The sequence below is a fragment of the Homo sapiens genome, chromosome 9, assembly GCF_000001405.40.
Source record: "Homo sapiens chromosome 9, GRCh38.p14 Primary Assembly".
Lineage (NCBI taxonomy): Eukaryota > Metazoa > Chordata > Mammalia > Primates > Hominidae > Homo > Homo sapiens.
The window spans coordinates 77970799-77992071 of NC_000009.12; the positions used below are offsets into that span (position 1 = coordinate 77970799).

At 40.6% G+C, this 21273-nt stretch overlaps 1 protein-coding gene across 3 annotated transcripts in view, besides 1 other annotated feature; it reads right to left on the bottom strand.

Annotated features, from left to right (window-relative positions):
* Positions 1-21273, bottom strand: part of GNAQ (G protein subunit alpha q) — a 315715-nt gene that overhangs the window by 254702 nt on the left and 39740 nt on the right. The window contains exon 1 of one of the 3 annotated variants that reach the window (XM_047423240.1): positions 1-13250. This exon is cut by the window's left edge and continues 26003 nt beyond it. The exons of the other annotated variants lie outside the window; for them this stretch is intronic. The gene's annotated coding sequence lies outside the window, so the exon portion shown is untranslated. Of the gene's footprint in view, positions 13251-21273 lie in introns of those variants that run through there. 3 annotated transcript variants of the gene reach the window in all.
* Positions 6535-6829: an enhancer, noted in NCBI's record as "tiled region #6688; K562 Activating DNase unmatched - State 12:CtcfO". NCBI's record gives its function as "activates a minimal TATA promoter and a strong SV40 promoter by Sharpr-MPRA in K562 cells {active_cell/tissue: K562}" and the evidence as "EXISTENCE:reporter gene assay evidence [ECO:0000049][PMID:27701403]".

The following is a 21273-nucleotide window of genomic DNA, read 5'->3' on the forward strand; positions in this document are numbered from 1 at the left end:
TGAAGGAGATACAGACATAAAAAACCTTTCAAAAAAAATCAATGAATCCAGGAGCTGGTTTTTTGAAAAGATCAACAAAATAGACCCCTAATAAAGAAGAAAAGAGAGAAGAACCAAATCGATGCAACAAAAAATGATAAAGGGGATATCACCACCGATCCCACAGAAATACAAACCACCATCAGAGAATACCATAAACCCCTCTACACAAATAAACTAGAAAGTCTAAAAGAAATGGATAAATTCCTGGATACACACACCCTCCCAAGACTAAACCAGGAAGAAGTTGAATCCCTGAATAGACCAATAACAGGTTCTGAAATTGAGGCAATAATTAATAGCATACCAACCAAAAAGAAGTCTAGGACCAGACGGATTCACAGCCGAATTCTACCAGAGGTACAAAGAGGAGCTGATACCATTCCTTCCGAAACTATTTCAATCAACAGAAAAAGAGGGAATCCACCCGAACTCATTTTATGAGGCCAGCATCATCCTGACACCAAAGCCTAGCAGAGACACAACAAAAAAAGAGAATTTTAGGCCAATATCCCTGATGAACATCGATGCAAAAATCCTCAATAAAATACTGGCAAACCAAATCCAGCAGCACATCAAAAAGCTTATCTACCACAATTAAGATGGCTTCATCCCTGGGATGCAAGGCTGGTTCAACATACGCAAATCAATAAACGTAATCCATCACATGAACAGAACCAACGACAAAAACCACATGATCGTCTCAATAGATGCAGAAAAGGCCTTCGACAAAATTCAACAGCATTTCATGCTAAAAACTCTCAATAAACTAGGTATCAATGGAACGTATCTCAAAATAATAAGAGCTATTTATGACAGACACACCGCCAATATCATACTGAATGGGCAAAAACTGGAAGCATTACCTTTGAAAACCGGCATAAGACAAGAATGCCCTCTCTCACCACTCCTATTCAATATAGTATTGGAAGTTCTGGCAAGGGCATGGAATGTTTTTCCATTTGTTTGTGTCCTCTCTTATTCCTGAGCAGTGGTTTGTAGTTCTCCTTGAAGAGGTCCTTCACATCCCTTGTAAGTTGTATGTTGTATTCCTAGGTATTTATTCTCTTAGTAGCAATTGTGAATGGGAGTTCACTCATGACTTGACTCTCTGTTTGTGTGTTATTGGTGTATAGGAATGCTTGTGATTTTTGCACACTGATTTTGTATCCTGAGACTTTGGTGAAGTTGCTTATCAGCTTAAGGAGATTTTGGGCTGAGATGATGGGGTTTTCTAAATGTACAATCGTGTCATCTGCAACAGGGTGACTATCATTGAATATTACAAGGAAAGTTCTAGCCAAAATAATAACAATTAAAATGAAAAAAAAATACTAGAAACAAAATCATTAGTATTTGGGGATGATATAATTGCTTTTCTTTAAAAAACCCAAGAGAAAAAACTATTATAGAATTAAGAAAGTTAAGAAATATTCTACAAATATTAATCGTGCACGCACCATGGCAAATCCTGAGGCAGGTACTAGGGACACAACAGTGAGTAAAAAGAGGGACCCAGGATGCACTGTAGAGTCTAACAGAGAATAAAATTAAAATATAAGTTTCTCATACTGTTTTTTTTTCCTTTGTTCACAAAACAAATGCAAGTAACATCGGTTCCATTTTCAGGCAATTCAGTAAATGGGCTTCATAAGCCCACTAATAAATGTGAAAAACCCAACAGCTTTTCCATAATAAGTAAGTACTAGTTACAAGATACAATTTAAGAAGTCTATTCACTACAACAATCAAAAACAAAATATAAAATAACTAGGAATAAATTTAACAGGAAACGTAGGACCCATATAAATAAAAGGACAAGATTTCATTTACTGGCCAGTTACGGTAGCTCACACCTGTAATCACAGCACTTTGGGAGGCCGAGGCGGGTGGATCGATCACCTGAGGAGTTCGAGACCAGCCTGGCCAACATGGGGAAACCCCATCTCTACTAAAAATACAAAAATTAGCCGGGCGTGGTGGTGGGCACCTGTAATCTCAGCTACTCAAGAGGTTGAGGCAGGAGAATTGCTGGAACCCGGGTGGTGGAGTTTGCAGTGAGCCGAGATCGTACCATTGTACTCCAGCCTGGGTGACAACAGCAAGACTCCATCTCAAAAAAAAAAAAAAAATTCCTTTACTTAAGTAAAAAGGAGAAGACATTTAAAAAAGAAAGGAAAAAAAAAAAAAAACAAGACATACCACATTACTGGACTTTAAGTATAAATTTTCCCAAAATCAATCTATATGTTTAGTGTGATCACATTCAAAACCAATGGGGTTTTTTTAGAGGTTAACAAATGATTCTAAATTTTATATGAAGAATAAATGTGTGGGAATGGCCAAAAATTATCCTTTAAGGAAAACATGAAATGAACTACTCCTAAACAGAACTCACGACATCAGCCCCACATCTTCAGACACAAGTAGGCTGAGCTACCTGGCTCTACTGCAAGGCTCCCCAGTCCTTGTCCCTGCATGTGCAGCAGTAAGGGCAGGGGCATATTTTTACACGCAGCTGGTGTATGCCCTCATTTCTGTGAACCACTCACTTCAGAACAACTCTCCCAAAAAAGCAGGTCTAACGTGTATGGAAAATGCTGTCAGCAGAAGGAGCAGAAATTCATTAGGAAGAGTTCACAACCACACTGAGATTCAAGTCAATTCTTTGAGGGAAACATAGAAATAGGAAGCAATGGCCGGGTGCAGTGGCTCACACCTGTAATCCCAGCACTTTGGGAGGCCAAAGCAGGCAGATCACTTGCAGTCAGGAGTTCAAGACCTGCCTGGCCAACATGATGAAACCCTGTCTCTACTAAAAATACAAAAATTAGCTGGGCATGGTGGCGTGTGCCTATGATCTTTAGCCACTTGGGAGCCTGAGGCAGGAGAATCGCTTGAATGTGGGAGGCACAGGCTGCAGTGAGCTGAGATTGTGCCACTGCACTCCAGCCTGGGCGACAGAGTGAGACTCAAAGTAGGGGGCAATGAAGTCATTTTCTGGGTCTTCATGTTCAATCTTAGAGATTTCCAGGAAATTTTTTTTAAAAAATTGAACAATTAACTAAAGTCCTTACTGGGTTATTATATAATAAGGTAAAACTTAATTTTCTCATATGGTGAATACTATATACTTAGATTCTTACAAAAACCTAGAAGTCAAAGCAATAATATTTAGCTGTTATATTTGCATCTCCTTTAATTTTTAATAATCTTTAAAATATAACTCATTCATCCAACCATTATATTCCTGAATTTCTTATGAAAATTCAGCACACACCAAGAATGAAAGGTTAAGCCTGTTTTGTAGGCACAAAGAAACTTTAAGACACTGAAGAACTCGCCATATATCAACAGAGCAAGTAAGCTGGAGCTGAGGCTGGGGCTGAGCTTTCAATTTCTGGGTCTGAAACAGGGACCCTCCAGATGCCCCCATCCATTCCACAGCCATGAGCTAATGAGGTCCAGGGCATTATAAAGTTATCCCCATGTACACAGTCAGCTGCATTCTGTTCTGAAACTACAGGCTGCATGTCCAATCCTGACCAGACAGCTGTCTTTAAAATTTTAATATACATTGCTCCAAGAGGGACTAATGATAGTAACTACCACATGCCATGCTTACTATGTGTGAGATACTGTTGTAAGGACTTTAAAGACACTCATGTAATCTTTGCAGCACTCCTTATGTACTAGGCACTAGTACAATCATACCCAATTTACAGATGATAAAACTGAGGCACAGAAAGGCCACCTAACATCTTGGAGGTCAGAGGGGAGGATAATGGCCTGCACTTTCAACACCCAGGATGCAAGGCTGCCTAGTGCTATAGCTGCTCACACAGATCTCCACCTCTCTGCATGCCCCAAGGCCAGCTGAGAAGACTCTCTGTAATGAAAAAATATGCAAAGGATGGCTCAACCTAACTACCCCACGTTCTAAGGTTTAATTAATACAAACTGCAAAGCATGACGGATTGCTGCTGTTCACCTTGCTCCTATAATGATTCATACAAAATACTCAGGTAAATCCTCATTTTACTTTGTTGCATAGCTTGAAATATTCTTGTACAGTGTTTGGAATGATTCAAACTATAAAATTCTACCTGCCAAATAATAAAGTGGATCACTGTGAAGTCTTAGTTTGGTATCAGCCCACTGTGACAACCCCTCAATGGATCGACTCAGCCTTGCTCAGATGGCCCTTGGTGCTCCCTGTCTTGTATTGTGTCTTTACCTAGTTAGCCAAAATACAAGTTCCCTACAGGGCCCATCCCCTAGAGCCTTGCAAAATCCTCTGTACATAAGTAACTCAACACTTTTTTGGTGACCCAGGATTAAGTGGGATAAAAAATTGTATTGCAGCAAACGAAAACATTTAAGTGCCGTAAATAAATCTTGGACAGTCACATTTAAATCATTCTGACAACTAAGCTCTCACTGCTAGCAATTCTCTAACTCACCACAGCCAACTTTTACAGAATGCTTACTGGGTACCAAGAACTGCAATAAGTGCTTTATTCAAACTGTACCAGCTAAGCCTCACAATGGTCCTTTGAGAGTGGTTGCTTTGTATTAATATAATTATCTTCATTATACAGATAAGGAAACAGGTTTAGAAAAATAGGGCAACTTACCCAAGGTCCCATTGCTAGTATCTCATTTCCCAAACTACACTTTTACTGTTATCAGCCCCCCCTTTTTTTTTTTTTTTTTTTTTTGAGACAAGGTCTCGCTCTCTCAGCAGGCTGGAGGGCAGTGGCGCGATCTCGGTTCACTGCAACCTCCTCCTCCCAGGTTCAAGCAATTCTTCTGCCTCAGCTTCCCGAGTAGTTGGGATTACACGCGCACACCACCATGCCCAGCTAATTTCTGTATTTTTAGTAGAGACGGGGTTTCACCATGTTGGCCAGGATGGTTGATCTCTTGACCTCATGATCCACCCGCCTCAGCCTCCCAAAGTGCTGGGATTACAGGCGTGAGCCACTGCGCTCAGCCCCGTTATCGGCCTTTTAATGGAGAGCAACAGGAAGAACAATCCTATAAAGCTCTCACTGCAATGAGAGTCATAGGATTCAGTGTGTTCTTTTGAAGACCCTTCTGAGAGCTGTCCTTCTGATCCTGGCATCGGGAAGAGCCATGTCACTGTTAAACAGTTTGTTTTAAAGATACTACAAGTGGTATAACTGATAAGGCTTCTATGTTATGCCAGTTGCTAGCAAGCTCCATGCCCAGTTTGAGGTTCACTGACATTATGTGTATCATTTCATTCTGATTCCATTTACTATCCTGCAGTTGTTTTAACTTTTTGTCTTCCACCTGCTTCTAATTTATATTAGTTTATATTTAACAAAAGCATCTTTAAATGCTTTTAGAAAAAGGTAGAACACAAAGTAAAGTGCCCAGTAAATGTTCAGCTCATTTTCAACAATCAAGGCTGAAGAACAACTGGGGTCAGGTGTTAAGAGTCCTAACCAGTGGTAAAAATTGGCAGCCAAAAACTATCCACTCAACAGGCTTGGTTTTTGTTTTTTGGTTTTTGGTTTTTTTTTGTTTTTGTTTTTGTTTTTTTTGAGACAGAGTCTCGCTCTGTTGCCCAGGCTGGAGTGCAATGGCACGATCTCAACTCAGTGCAACCTCCGCCTCCCAGGTTCAGGTGATTCTCCTGCCTCAGCCTCCCAAGTAGCTGGGATTACAGGCACGCGCTGCCACGCTGGCTAATTTTTGCATTTTTAGCAGAGATGGGGTTTCACCATATTGGTCAGGCTGGTCTCAAACTCCTGACCTCGTGATCCACCCACCTCAGCCTCCCAAAGTGCTGGGATTACAGGCGTGAGCCAACACGCCCGGCCCAGGCTTGTTTTTTAATTCTAGACAATAGTTTTAAGCTTTTCGATTAGTTGGCAACATTTAAAATCCAAGAGATTTCACATAAAAAGCAGATATTTTATTTACCTGGAAAAACTGGAAGCTCTGGCAAGCCTAAAAACCTGCTCTCCATACATGGCAACATTCAAAGCTGAACAACAGCTTCAATGAGCCATAAGGTTTTAGTTGGCCAGAGGTCCCACCCAGTGTCACTCATTTAAAACCACCTGCCTGAATCCCAAAGGCATATGACTTTGCAAGCATCAAGCACTAGACTATATTAACAGCAAATCAATTCCTGATAGAGAAATCTGCAGCTACAATTATTAGGCAGGATTTCACACCTGCTGGGAGAATCTCAGAGTACCCCTTTTTATCTCCTTTATCTTGAAAAATGGGATTATTTAGAAATTAGGCCTGAGAGAGGCAAAATGAGACACACTGGATAAAGGCAACTATTTATAAAGCCTCCTAAGGCAGAGCGCTTCCTTCAGCTATTGGCACTAACCCTCTAGTTAGCTCCTTCCCTGGCCCTTCTCCACACTCCATTCCCCACCCTAACCCCATCTCAGTACTACTGTCTCCACAACAACACAGATTAAGGCCAAAAGCAAAAATGGCAAAATCAAGTCCTCATTCTCCAAGGGCTCCTACCCCAAGACTTTCTTCCTTGACCGCCCACATGGAGGCGCCATGAACACAACTATCCACACTTCCCAAGGTCAAAACAAAATTGAGCTCCCTCTTGAAAAAAAAACAACAGCAGCTACCATTGTTCAACCCACAGGCATTCAGAGTGTTCATACAGCAAAGTCGAAATTTCCCCTTTCAGGAAGTTCCTGGGAGGAAGTCAGTGCCCTGAAGCTCAGCCACTCCTCAGACTAGAGAAAACAAAGGCAACGCAGACATGCACTCTCCAGAATGGCCATGGCATCCCAGAACAAGAAGCGGGGTTCTGCAACCCTGGAGCATTAGCCAGGGTGCTGGGCTTCCCCAGCAGCCCCTTATAGGAGGAACATTTTCACTTTGCAAGTCTGAAGAAGGCTAGTGGGGTTCTTTCCTTTATGTTTCTTCTATCTAAATACTTCTGCCATATTTTGATCAGGATCCAACCATGAAACCAGTTGAATACCTGAATGGGATCATGGGTGTAGTTATCTGTCACCTTGCCCCAACTTAACCCCCTTGTCCTGATTCTTTGGAAACCAGAACCCTCCACCAGTGGCAACAGCAGTCCCTGGTACCCTAGTAATAACAGTAATGTCATAGTATGCGTGGAAAATTATTCCTGACACTGTACATCTACAATTTGCTGAAATTCTTCCTTTTTCTTAAATTATATGAAAAGTAATACATGTGCAGGTAACTTTTCCTAAACAGAAGCATGGTAAAAAGTGGAAAGTAAGTGTCTCTGGGCCCATACTCCCCATTTCCACTCCCTTCCATTATTGCTTTTACAGTCCTTCTATGGTGATCAGCTTAACGAAATGACAGGCTTCTATCCCTGATGTGTCAACTTCAGACAGAATCTACTGACTTACCGCCTCCCCCGTATCTAACTCATTCACACTTACTTCACCTCTATTTTGTCTCTAGTTTTCTTGATTATACTATTTTTAGTCCTTCAATTGGTTAGCTCTGTTTCCTGTTTCAGCAGTATTACACAGTATTTCTCTACATCCCACCATGTAAAAGAAGAAAATGAGTACCAAGGTCCCTCTCCCTCCTGCCTCTTTTCCTGCCTTCTAGCCTCAGGCTTCTGTCTGCTCTTTCACTCCCTTTGCATTGCTAGATTTTAAAACCTTGATGATTGTTTTCTCTCTGTAGTTATAATTACATCTTTCCTGTCTTGTGTGGGGATTAACCAATAAACTATTTAGCTACATCCACAGCAGTATGATTGTGTAAATATTACCTCCCACAAAACCAACAGCAATGCTCAACTCCTAGAAAAGGAAATAGAACCCTTTATCAGTGAACCTGAGTCAAATGGGTTCTCTTTTCTTACACTCCACTAAATGTTCAAAACTATTATCACACTTTAGTTTGGTTTTTCACTTTTAAAAAAAATGGGCCAGGTACAGTGGCTCACGCCTATAATCCCAGCACTTTGGGAGGCGAGGCGAGTGGATCAATTGAGGTCAGTTCAAGACCAGCCTGGACAACATGGTAAAACCATGTCTCTACTAAAAACACAAAAATCAGCCGGGCGTGGTGGCACTGACCTGTAATCCCAGCTACTCAGGAGACTGAGTCACGAGAATCGCTTGAAACTGGGAGGCAGAGGTTGCCTCTGCCTAGATTGTGCCACTGTACTCCAGCCTGAGTGACAGAGTAAGACTCTGTCTCAGAAAAATAAAATAAAAATTCGGCTGGGTGGTGGCTCATGCCTGTAATTCCAGTGCTTTGGGAGGCCGAGGTGGGCAGATCACCTGAGGCCAGGAGTTCAAGACCAGCCTGGCCATCATGGTGAAACCCTGTCTCTACTAAAAATCCAAAAATTAACCAGGTACGGTGGCGGATGCCTATAATCCCAGTTACTCGGGACGCTGAGGCTGGAGAATTGCTTGAACACAGGAGGTAGAGGTTGCGGTGAGCCGAGATGGCGCCATTGCACTCCAGCCTGGGCAACAAGAGCGAGACTCTGTCTCAAAAAAAAAAAAATTAAATTAAATTAAATTAAAATTAAAATATATGAAAGAACTATTTGATATCTACCTGTCATGGCCAATATTTGTGTCCATGTTGTTCTTTTTTTCAATCAAAACTACACTCATATGACCTCAATACCAGCTGGAGTTCATCCCCTTCTAGTAGGGAAGTGCCCCTTACTAGGAAAGCACAAGGGAACAGTTAACGAGCTAAACAATTAAGCTAATAAAAAGAACCTCTGAGGTCCCAAAGCCCCAGGGTGCATGCCCAAGGGGGGGGAGACTGAACTCTCTGGAAGACTAAAAAATAGCCCCTTCTTTGATTACAATTCTGAACTGCATCTTATGATACTAAGATACTTTCACAAGCAACATGCAACATATATGCCTCACAATTAAGACGCTAGGTGAAAAGATGGCTTACTTAGCATGTTCAGTTTTTCTTTGTTCCCCCTATGTGTAGGTTTGCTACATGATTTGGCATCTTGGCTACCTGATTTTGGTTAATGTTTATTTGCTGAAAAACAACGTAAGACAAACAATAAAAAACACAGTCTCAAATTATGTACTTGGCCATGTTATGAGACAGAAAATAGGTCATAACATCTAGAAGAGAGAAAGCTGCCTGTTCCTAGAGACAAATTAATTTATGAAAATAGACAAAGTTACAAGAGAATCAATGCTGCACAACAGAAAGAGCAACGGCTGTGGGGTAACAGAATGCTGAGTTCAAATCCTGGATAAACTACGTTCTTTGTGGTGTGACCTCAAGCCTTGAAAGAGTTACTGAAGTTTTCTGAACCTTTGTTTCTTACCCTGTACAACAGGCACAATACCACCTCCTCTGCAGGGGTACTATGAAGGCAGACTGTGATGTGTATATAGCAAAAAGCATAGCCCCTGGTGCTCATAAACCAGTGCTGAGTAACACCAGATCTTGCATTTCAGTATCAAGTGTCTCTCGAATTAGCCACAGTAAGTGAGGACTGAGCATCAAGCTGTAGTACTTACTCAGGTCCTAAGAAAATATGAGGAGGAGAATGAGTATTATTATTCTTGTCATAAAACTAAAGAAAATATACAAAATGAAGATCTACAATGCTAGACGGAAATTTGGTCAAAGATCATGTTACTACAAAATTATTTTATAATTAAACTCTCTGGGATATTAAAAAATAGCCCCTTTTATTACAGTTCTGAACTGCACTTTATCATATCAAGATATTTTGAAAAGCAACATGCAACGTGCCTTATGCCTTACCATAGACAATTAAGAAGCAATTCCAAAAGATACCACTTTACTAGTTTAAAAAAAAAACACAATTCACAATTTATCCAAATTCAACAGTTCAGGAAAAAAGAAAGGCTTTGTATGTGAATCACTTGATAGGCTAGATTACAAAATCATGAATTCTAGAATTCTGGAAGATGAATACTCCCACACTTTGATACATATGTAAGAATCATGCATAGAAACATGATGTCACTAAAACAACTTCAAAACTGTGGCAGTATTTCAAGCTCCACCTCTCACAGTTCTATGAATTTTATTCTCTGGAATCTAAACAGGCTCTTCCTTCATTGCTTTCATCTGCTTAATCCATGCTATATCAGTGATTTAAACCTACAATGATTTCTATCTGAAAGGATATTGCCAGACTCCCACACACTTACAAAAATAGCTTCTATTAGAAAGTGAGTGGTGAGGTGTTAGATTCAGACCCCCCATTTAAATACACGGATTTTTCCACATTTATTTAATTACATTAGTATACAATATTATGTAAGCCTTTACTTTCATTATTTAATTGGCCTTTCCCTATCTCTCCATAAAGTCAATATTAAGCCTGCTTTGAATTTCTACTCACTGCCAATATTCTGCCATACATAGTATTTCCTTTAATCAATCAAGACAAAAAAAATAGTATTTAAAATGCTTTTAATCATCAAAAAAAGAGAGGAAAAAATATAATCAGTCCTTTTGTTTATGAAGGATACTTTCAACTGTTTAGGAAATTCATTTCTAAATATACCTTCTGAGCACTTCCTTTGCAAGAGGCTGTGCCCTACAGGCCATGTGAAGACGCTGAAGGCAAAGTCCAGTCATGCAGAAGGTGTGGAAGGCCACGGCACAGCAGGGCAAGTCAGAGCAAGGGAGGTGCATGCAGAGGCAAAAAATAACATTCACTGTGAATCAGGAAGTTCATAGCTGGCTGTGCACTCCCAGGCTGTATACTCTATTTTGCATGCAACCAAAAGTCCAGTAGGCTGAGGTGTCTTTAAAATACTTATCCCTTTTGACAACCTTATCTTAAATCTCCTTTCTCTCAAATTTCATGATTATTTCTCATGTCCCTAGCCTTAGGGAAAAGCTATTAGACATGTCTCAAGAACTCATTAACCAGGTGTTCTTCGCAGCTCCAGAACTCATCTTCCCATATAGAATAAAAACTAGAAAGCTTTTGCATTTTCACTCTGCTGCTCAATTTTACCTTGATTGGAATTCCCTATCACTTCCATATGGCTAGTTAACTGCCTAACCATCCATAAGAGTGATTACAAACTGTGGAATTATGAATTTAACAATTAACTGACTTGATAGATTTGAGGAGGGTGCTCTGTTCTGTGTTTAGGTTCCTGAGGTAGAAAAGTCTCTTGGTATCTGATTTAGGTTCCTACCTGGAAGCTGGGTCACATCAAGCCATCCCAGGCCAATGACTAGCCAACCTACTGCTAATTCTTAGCACAGAAAGATTATACAACCTATGACTACCATTACTGGTAAGCATTTCATACCCACTCATCATGTTTGTCTATGTGCTTATAGAAAGTCTTTTCATTTTTGGCAAAGCAGTATCACTATTCTCAGAGTTTTATAAAAAAGAAATGATTCTGGTCTTTGTAGGGAGGTGTGGGCTCAAATTCCACTCCTGCCACGCAGTTCAAAACAAATTAGAGAAACACTTGACCACTGATGTTGGCGAAGTAAAACAAAAATTTTTTTAATTGAATCCTCTTACTTAAGAATGGCAAGTTAAAGATCAGTCAATTATGGGAATAATGTTATAGGCTTCTGAAACCTCACAGAAATTTTCCACATGGAGAATCTCTTCTACACCTTTTCATGGGGTTATGAGAGAGACATATGACATGGGGGACGGGGAGACCACCATTCTATCTTAGAAGTATGATACAAACAAACATTAGCCTATTCTGAGAAGTAATGTGAACTCCCTGAAAAGCTTTTTCAGAAGTATTTACAGCACCTGAACATTTCAGGGGAATAAAAATGCCATCAAATATTCATTGCACAGTAGTGAAAGATGCATTCTCATTAATGAATCCTCTACCTGTATCGAACTGTTGATTCTATGTTTAAAAAAAAAAAAAAAAAAGTCAAAACCACAGGAAGGGGAACATCACACACCAGGGCCTGTCGTGGAGTGGGGAGAGGGGGGAGGGATAGTAATGGGAGATATACCTAATGTAAATGACGAGTTAATGGGTGCGGCACACACCAACATGGCACATGTATACATATGTAACAAAAATGCACGTTGTGCACATGTACACTAGAACTTAAAGTATAATAATAAAAAAATAAAAAAGTCAAAACCAGTATTAACAAGATAAAAACTTTTTTAGAAGAACCATAACAGAGAAAATACCTACATGGGTCTCTAACTGGCCCCTATATAATGTACCAATGCTTGAATTCATCAATTATTTACACTACCCAGAATTCTGCTGTACTGGGGTAGAAAGGGCTGAAGTAACTGTGGAAACACTGCCTACATAGAAACTGGCACTTTGTTTCTCACTTGCCAGCTAGTTCTATGCAACAGTATGAACTCGTGCATGGTGATAACATTTACATAGTATGTATCTGTGGAGTGCTGAGCATCAAAATCATGCTTTCATAGAAAGCAACTGCGTCATTTTAGGTAAGAGGGCTGACCTATTAGTAGCCAACTCTTGCTGCTAAAAATCTTCTAAAGGACTTGTGTGGATGTAGGTGTTTATTCCCTCCCAAATTCCTCCATGGGTAGCCTCAGTACCTCACCAACCTTTTGGTTCTCACCCTGCTGGGAGATGACTCCTCTGGGCCCCTCCCCTCTGGAACTGAGAGGACTGGTATGGCCTTGAGCCTCTTCGAAGAGCCATTTGCCTTATTCCTCATAGTTGGTGTATGTGTCTTTTACTTCTTTCTTTCAAGGTTGGTGTATTCCTTATTCCTCATAGTTGGTGTATGTTGCCTTTTGCCTCTTTCTTTCAAGGTTCCCCTTACTGTGGCACAGGGTTTGGCTGAGCAGCTCATTTTCTGGCATTTTATGGAAACACAGAAAAGTATCTATGCACTTAAAATCAGCATCACTAGCAGATCTAGTCTTGCCTTTGGCATCACCAGCAGGAGAATTTAGTGACTGAAATGACCACTGACTCTATTCCACTCTTTTAGTGGGGAGGACTCTTTCCTAGGAAGTCACGGTCAGAACTTGCTGTATCCTAAAGGAAGTCCACTCCAAGAGACAGGAAGATTTACCGAGATCCTACTGTGTGGGCATTTTGCTCAGAACTGAGGGATACAGAAATAAAAGATCTAACACGTTGTGCTTTTATTCAAAGACTCTCTCTCTCTCCTCAAAAGTCATCCTGGGTTTTTGCAGCATATGCAAGTAGAATTTTGGAGAGCAAAAAAAAAAAAAAAAAAAAAAAAAAATCACCTAGATGAAGTTGGTCATCTAGGCAGGTAGGGCACAAGCAGAAAGTTTTTGAATTTTAGTTGAAGTACGTAGATTTCTGGGATTTTTTTGCTTTTCTTTTTTTTTTTTTGAGACAGGGCCTCACTGTCACCCAGGCTGGAGTGCAGTGGCATGATCTCGGCTCACTGCAGCCTCGACCTCCTGGGCTCAAGTGATCCTCCCACCTTAGCCTCCTGAGTAGCTGAGACTACTGGCATGCACCACCACGTGGCTAATTTTTCGTATTCTTTGTAGAGATGGGGTCTTGCCATGTTGCCCAGGCTGGTCTCGAACTCCTGGACTCAAGCAATTCGGCCTCCCAAAGTGCTGGGATTACAGGCGTGAGCCACCACATCCAGCCTGAAGTACCTGTTTAACTGTGTTTATTCTTAACTGCCTTAGAGTTGATGAAATAGTTAACAAAGTCCTTGGAAAAGATAAGATTCCCAAAAGTATGAATTCGCATAATTTTTGGTTTCTGTAGAACTCTTACAAACAAGTAGCTCCTTATTGTCTTGAAATACCTTTTTAAAACATTCTCTTTTAAAAAATTCCCTTGGTATAACATTATATAACCAAAAACCTGCAGTTTTAAGAGAAGTATACCCAGGGATTCAGTGCAGGTGCTCTAACGCAGGGGTTCATTCCACATTTTGAGAAACTCTGCTTTACAATGCACAGAGCAGAGCCAGAGAGAGAAACTCCCTGATTCACTTATTATAACTGACAAAGGGACCAGGCTCCCGAGTGAAGAATGGAGCAATCCTCCAACATCTATTCAGGTATTTAAGAGGTGAGAGGAGAAAGCAGAGAATTACAAAATCAAAATGGACTACCATTTGAGGATCCTGATACTATGGCAAGGAAATGGCAATTTTATGGCATGGACATACACTAGTTCCCCCTACATGGTTTTCAAAAGAGTTTGTGGGCCAGGCGCGGTGACTCACACCTGTAATCCCAGCACTTTGGGAGGCCAAGGCAGGCAGATCACAAGGTGAGGAGATCGAGACCATCCTGGCTAACATGGTGAAACTCCGTCTCTACTAAAAATACAAAAAATTAGCCAGGCATGGTGGTAGGTGCCTGTAGTCCCAGCTATAGGCTGGGAGGCTGAGGCAGAAGAATGGCATGAACCCAGGAGGCGGAGCTTGCAGTGAGCTGAGATCTCGCCACTGCACTCCAATCTGGGTGACAGAGAGAGACTCCATCTCAGAAAAACCAACCAACAAACAAAAGAGTTTGTAGAGTTTTGTTTTGTTTTGGTTTTCCTTTTACAGAGATCCACATCACATCATATAATGGAGGAGACTGAAGACATTAATTGTGAGCAGTCACTGTTGCAGAAATTCCTACTCCCCAAGTAGAGGATAGTTGTATGTCATTCAAATATTACATACCCTATAAAAGTACAAGGTGTTAAGCTTCACAGCTTAAAACACAGTAACTGATTATGTGTTTTTAGATTAGTATAATTTTTAATTTTTCTATTTTTATTTTTTTTGAGACAGAGTCTCGCTCTGTGGCTCAGGCTGGAGTGCAGTGGCATGATCTCGGCTTACTGCAATCTCTCTGCCTCCCGGGTTCAAGCGATTCTCCTGCCTCAGCCTCCTGAGTAGCTGGGATTACAGGCATGCACCACCACACCCGGCTAATTTTTTGGATTTTTAGTAGAGATGGGGTTTCACTGTGTTGGTCAGGCTGGTCTCAAACTCCTGACCTCAGGTGATCCACCCGCTTCAGCCTCCCAAAGTGCTGGGATTACAGGCATGAGCCACCGCACCTGGCCTAAGTATGATTTTTTAAAACAGCTGTCATTCAAATTTAAATGAACTTTGATCTTCTTGACACAAAGACTTTTTTTTCCTTTTTCTGGACAGTTTGACTGTATACGGCCTTAATATTCGAAGCAGTCAGAAAGATACCCTAACTAGAAAGTACAATCCACCTCTACTGTTGCTTCTTCCTAGAATGTCCTAGCATTGCCATAGTTTAAAGTCCCACATCAATATTTGTTTATTCTCCAGCCATGCAGATTATAGCCACCACCACCTTTCCCTTGCCACATAGCTGCTGCAAGATATCTGGCTCATACCTGCTGTTTACATACAGATTTCCCATCCAACAGAATCCTGTTGCTCTAAGCAACACTATTAGCCTAACAGAAACAGCCATTCTAAGTAACCTTTGAATCTTACTGAGCTTCACAGTATTGTGCACCCTGGTCCAGATTCAGATTTGACATTTGAGGCTAACTGTGACTATTGCTAATGAAACCAAAATAATCTCTATAAAAGCAGCAACCCTCAAACCTAATCAAAGCTCAAACCTTAAGCCTCAGTTTCTAAGAGAGGTCTACCCTGGCTCCTCCTACCATCATTCTTTCTTGCAGTGCCTGTTAAGTTTCTGTTTGTTTCTTTGTTTTGGGACAGGGTCTCGTTCTGTCGCCCAGGCTAGAGTGCAGTGGCATGATAACAGCTCACTGTAGGCTCGACATACTGGGCTCAAATGATCCTTCCTCCTTAGCCTCCCAAGTAGCTGGGACTACAGGTGTGCATCAACATGTCCAGCTAATTTTTTTTACTTCTGTAGAGATGAGGGTCTCACTATGTTGCCCAAGCTAGTCTCGAACTCCTGGGCTCAATCTTCTCACCTTGGCCTCCCAAAGTGCTGGGATTACAAGAATGAGCCATGGCACCTGGCCCTTTTTTTTTTTTTTTTTTTTTTAACCTTTTCTTCAGAGTTTTGATAAGGGTTTTTAAATTATTTACATATGTGTGTATTAGTAACTGTTCTCTACTTGTTTGGAAGCTCCATGAGGATAAAGATTTTATTCTTTTATTTATCATTATATTGATAATGCTTAGCACAGCACCTGCATATCATACATATGAAAGAAATGGTTCCTAAGTGATGGAAACAATTCAAGATATTAAAGGTGCAAACTGGTTACTACCCTCACTACATGCATCTTCAGTCTGGTCTGGCATTTGAGGGCCACTTGTTCTTCCTTTTCTTTTCTTTGCCTGTCGTCATGTTGTTGGGAAAGCAAAAACAATACTAATTCCATATGAAGTTCTGCTTTATGGCATGTAGGCTTATCATCTGCAAGCAGCACCATGCAGACTATAAAAGTGTCAATATTATCTTGAGTATCTCTTTGGGTCTGCAGAGTCATTGGCACATGAAAGCCTCTGGGTGCTTGCTTTCAAGGACTTCTGAAATGGTAGGAGTCAGTTAGACCGAAAAAAAAAATCCTTGCGGTTGAGAATTACATATAATTCCCATGTTTTGAGGCATATCAGAGTAACATATGCTGAATAAAACCAGACACTCTGATTCACTCTTTTGATGACAGAAAAGGACTGGACACCACTAATCTAATAGAAGCATCTAAATGGTTTTGCAATTAAGTAACACTATGTCCTTGTGAATATCTCTCGGCAATCCACCTGCTTGATCACAGCCAGAGTTCTAATCTATACATGAGTCATTCACTCATTCATCCGGTCCGCAATATTTACTAAGCAACATCGTACCAGGTCCTGTTCTAGGTACTTAGGATCTAGCAATACACAATATAGACAAAATCTCTCAGGGAGCTTCTAGTATTCGGAAAATAAATGTACAGTACATAAAATATGGAAAACAGCTGGGCACAGTGGCATCCACCTGCAGTCCCAGCTATTTGGGTGGCTGAGGCAGGAGGATCACTTAAGCCCAGACATTCAAGTCCAGTGTGGGCAGCACAGTGAGACCCCCATCTCTAAAAAAGAAAAATACTAAAAACACCTAGGAAGAAAAGAAGAAGAAAGAAGTTAGAGTATCCCATGAGTAGGGGGTGGTGTTGTGGTCAGCAAGTCCTCACTGAGACAACTTAAGTCAAGGCTGAAAAGAGAGACGGGAATGAGCTATGCTGATTCCTGGTGCGAAAAGCAATCCAGACAGTTGGACCTCAAGGTCAAAGTCCCTGAGACAGAAAAGAGGTTAGTAGGTTCAAGGAACAGCAATGAGGACAGAGCAGAGAGTGGAGTCAATAAAGAGAGGAGTAGAAGGAGATGATGTCAGAGAATGGAAGGAAACAGTAAGAGAAAGTACAAGGCCAGCAGGCCCTCTAACATTTTAGCTTCAGCTCAGAGAGATAGAAGGTTCTCCACAGAGGAATAACACAGTTGCTTTATGCTTTAGCAGGATAACTGACTGCTGCAGAAAGAATACCAGGAAAACGGCTGGACACCAGAACTTCCTTCAGTACTTGCTACACTGGAAATAGTACAGGTTGGGTCCTACACTGCAACCTAAAAGGATGTGGGATCATGTTGATTAATCTGCCAAAGGATTTGATCTGGTATCTTCCATCAATGGAGCACGTAATTGCTGTTTTCTCATCTTTCTTCTTTTGAAGAAGTATTATCGAAAACAGGATTCAGGGGACAGACAGATCTGATTCCAACTCTCATCTTGCACCACTTATGGGATAGGAAGCATGGTACATATTAGGTTTTCCCCTTAAAATAAACATATGATTAACATACTACCTGTGAAGCACAGGGCCTGGCAGTGTGTGCAAGTGACAAATAAAGAATGGCTATTACCATTGTTGTTATTATAGAAGACTCAAGGCTTTGTCAAACACATGTTATAAAAGGTCAATGAAGACAGTAGCATCTTCCTAATTTACTAATCTCAATTGCCAAACCAGCCACAGGAAGTACCCTCTTCAAATACTGGGGACTTTTTTGAAAGCTAATGCAAGTCTAAATACTCATATTTCATCAGACTATTACTTCATAAGATTTAGTAAGGATGGCAGTAACTCCTAAGATGATCAGAGATGAGTGTCAGCTATGGACTTAGAACTCCATTATTCCTAAAGATAAAACGCTGTTCAATTCAAGCCCCATGCCAGAGATTACATAAGAATTCCTGGATAACTATTTTGTTTATTTTTTAAAAATAAATTCTCTGCTGGCAAAACTTTTTTTTAGTAAAATTATCTTTAGTTCTTATTAGCAACATTCTCTTTACAGAAATGAAGTATGTTTTTTAAAAATCTTGAAAACCAAATGTTTTATTTGACAGACACGTTTTATGATCTTTTCAAAAACCCATTCTCATCCGTCATTTTCTGTTTATAAAAGCAAGTACCTCTGGCTGCCTACCCAACATCCCCTCTCCATTAAACATTTGCCAGCAAAGGCCCAAATCAGTTAGGGCACCCATCCCCTCATGTGCATCAAGGGGTGGTGGCCCTCAGTTCAGACTCGAATGTTGAATCCTGAATTGGACCATTGCTGCAAGTCCAAATTCCCTAGTGACTGAGCTGAGCCTGTGAAGCAGTTCTGACTGTGAGACTCAGGGAAGAACTGATATTGGAGGTGGCCATGTGATATTGGGAGCCTGTTAGAAGGGCTCTGGGGAAGTTTTCCTTGCTCCCAAGAAGAAAACACTGCAAGAGAGAGACCTTTTTGTCTCTAGTCTGGCTGCATATGGCTGTGGAGCTGGAAGCCCTGTGGCGGGCTTGCTAAGGGCCTAAGGCAACAGGATCCCAAAGAGGCTGCAGCCAGGGCCCTGAGCTGACATCTGGAGCCTTCCCTACCACTGGACTGCTCCATACATGAAGGAATGCATTTTCTTCTTGCTGAAACCAATTAGAAGTGGGTGTTTCTGCTACCAGCAGCCTGCTGAAACACCGTTTCATAGATGATTATTAATTTTATTTTAATCTAGTATTACAGCTGAAAGTTTATTTTGATAAATGACATCACATTTGCACAAATGAATAAACAGATGACCTTTCCCCTTTTATTTACTCCTTTTCATCATAAGTGTAATATATACTCCCTTCTGAAAAATCACTTTTAAATTTCATAAATGAACTGACTGAAGTCTGAGATTTCCAAAAACTAGTGTCTTCATTTTTATTAAACTTACATCTACTCTGGTTTGGCAGTTATTTACAAAAGCTAAGGAAAACTCCATGACTACATAAGCCCATAGTATTCTTGATAAGAAGAAGGTTGGAAAGATTTATTGCAACCTCTGAGCTGTGCTTTCATTCTGTAGGTATTCAGTGCCTCATGGAATTGGAGGATTCTTGTTGAAAATTGATCTTTTATTTTATTGTATTTCTTTCTTTAATTTTTTAGAGACATGCTCTCACTCTGTTGCCCAGGCTGGAGTGCAGTGGCACAATAATAGCAACCTTGAACTCCTGGGTTCAATCTTCCTGCCTTAGCCTCCTAAGTAGCTGGGCCACCAAATGAGCATGCCATTATGGCCCATTAATTTTTAAAAATTTTTTTGTAGAGACAAGTCTCACTATGTTGCCTGGAGGAGTCCTGAACTCCTTAGCTCAAGTGATCCTCATGCCTCAGCCTTTTCCAAGTGCTGGGATTACAGGCATGAGCCACAACATCCAACCTCTTTTAAGCCTTTTCCAGAGTTCTTGTCAAAGGCTCCAGGTTTTTCACACTTTACCCTCCATTAGTATCTCAAGAACCCTGTGGGGTGAATATGTGTGCATATTTGAATGCATGTATGTGTATACATGTATATATACAAGCACACATGTATGTGAATCTAATGTTATCAGAGACAATAGCGTAAGTATAAAAGGGTGTTGGAATCGAAAATTTGGCCTAACCATTTCATTAGACTGCTTTCCTACAAAATGCTTTCATGAAAGTAGAGTGTAGTTATGGTAAGCCAATAAATAGCAATTTCTCCCTCTCAGCAAACAAGGAGATGTTTATTTGCCTGCCCTCTCATACACACATGACCTAAGAATGCTTTCCTTGTGTAACTCTGTGTTGACCTTATTTATACATACGAAAGAAAATCTCTACTGGAGTCACTTATCACAATGCCAAATAAAATTCCCTCAAAATGTATTTAATAGAGTCACTTTAACTTCGGATTTCAAGGCAACTTATATACTCCAACTAGAGAAATTGCTTTCAAGTATGCATGACAGAAGGTGCACAAAGTGAAACAATAAACCTTACTGACAAAACTGTTTCTATACCAGTTTGAGCATATTTGCCATTTACAATTGACATATCATTTGTTCACTCAGAGAATCCTTCAAAGCAAAGCAGGTGGGTTTAAAAGGAATTTAGATGTACAGACAGCTCGTGTGGTAACATCGAACTAAACTGATCCAACACTATCAGTTGGCCTTTCCTCTTTATTAGTGACCTTTCAGTGATGTTCTTCACCTTAGCATACAGAATGTATTTAAGAGATACAAACCACCGTGGAATGGCCACAAATACCAGAAAAGGCCTAATGTTGGTCACGTTTCAACAATAAATACCACAGTCCTTAATTAGAACCAGTATGCTAACCCACACCAGGAAACAGGAAGACTACGAGATTGTCTTTTCTAATATTCTACCTCCACATCTCCATGGCCCTGCTCATTCCTTCTTCAACTCCTTTCAGTATTCCCCTCCCTCCTTCTTAAAAATCTTTTTTTAATTTCAATAGTTTTGGGGGTACAGATGGTTTTTGGTGATGTAGGTAAGTTCTTTAGAGGTGATTTCTGAGATTTTGGTGCACCCATCACCCAAGCAGTGTACACCGTACCCAATATGCAGTCTTTTATCCCTCACCCCCGTCCCATGCTTCCCTCCAAGTCCCCTAAGTCCATTATATAATTCTTATGCCTTTGTATCCTCACAGCTTAGTTCCCACTTAAAAGTGAGAACATATGATATTTAGTTTTCCATTCCTGAGTTACTTCACTTAGAATAACAGCCTCCAGCTCCATCCAAGTTGCTGCAAAGGCCATTACTTTGTTCCATTTTATGGCAGAGTAGTATTCCATGGTGTATATATGCCACATTTTCTTTATCCACTTGTTAGCTAATGGGCATTAAGGCTGGTTCCATATTTTTGCAATTGCAAATTGTGCAGCTATAAGCATGCATGTACATGCATCTTTTTCATACAGTGACTTCTCCTCCTCT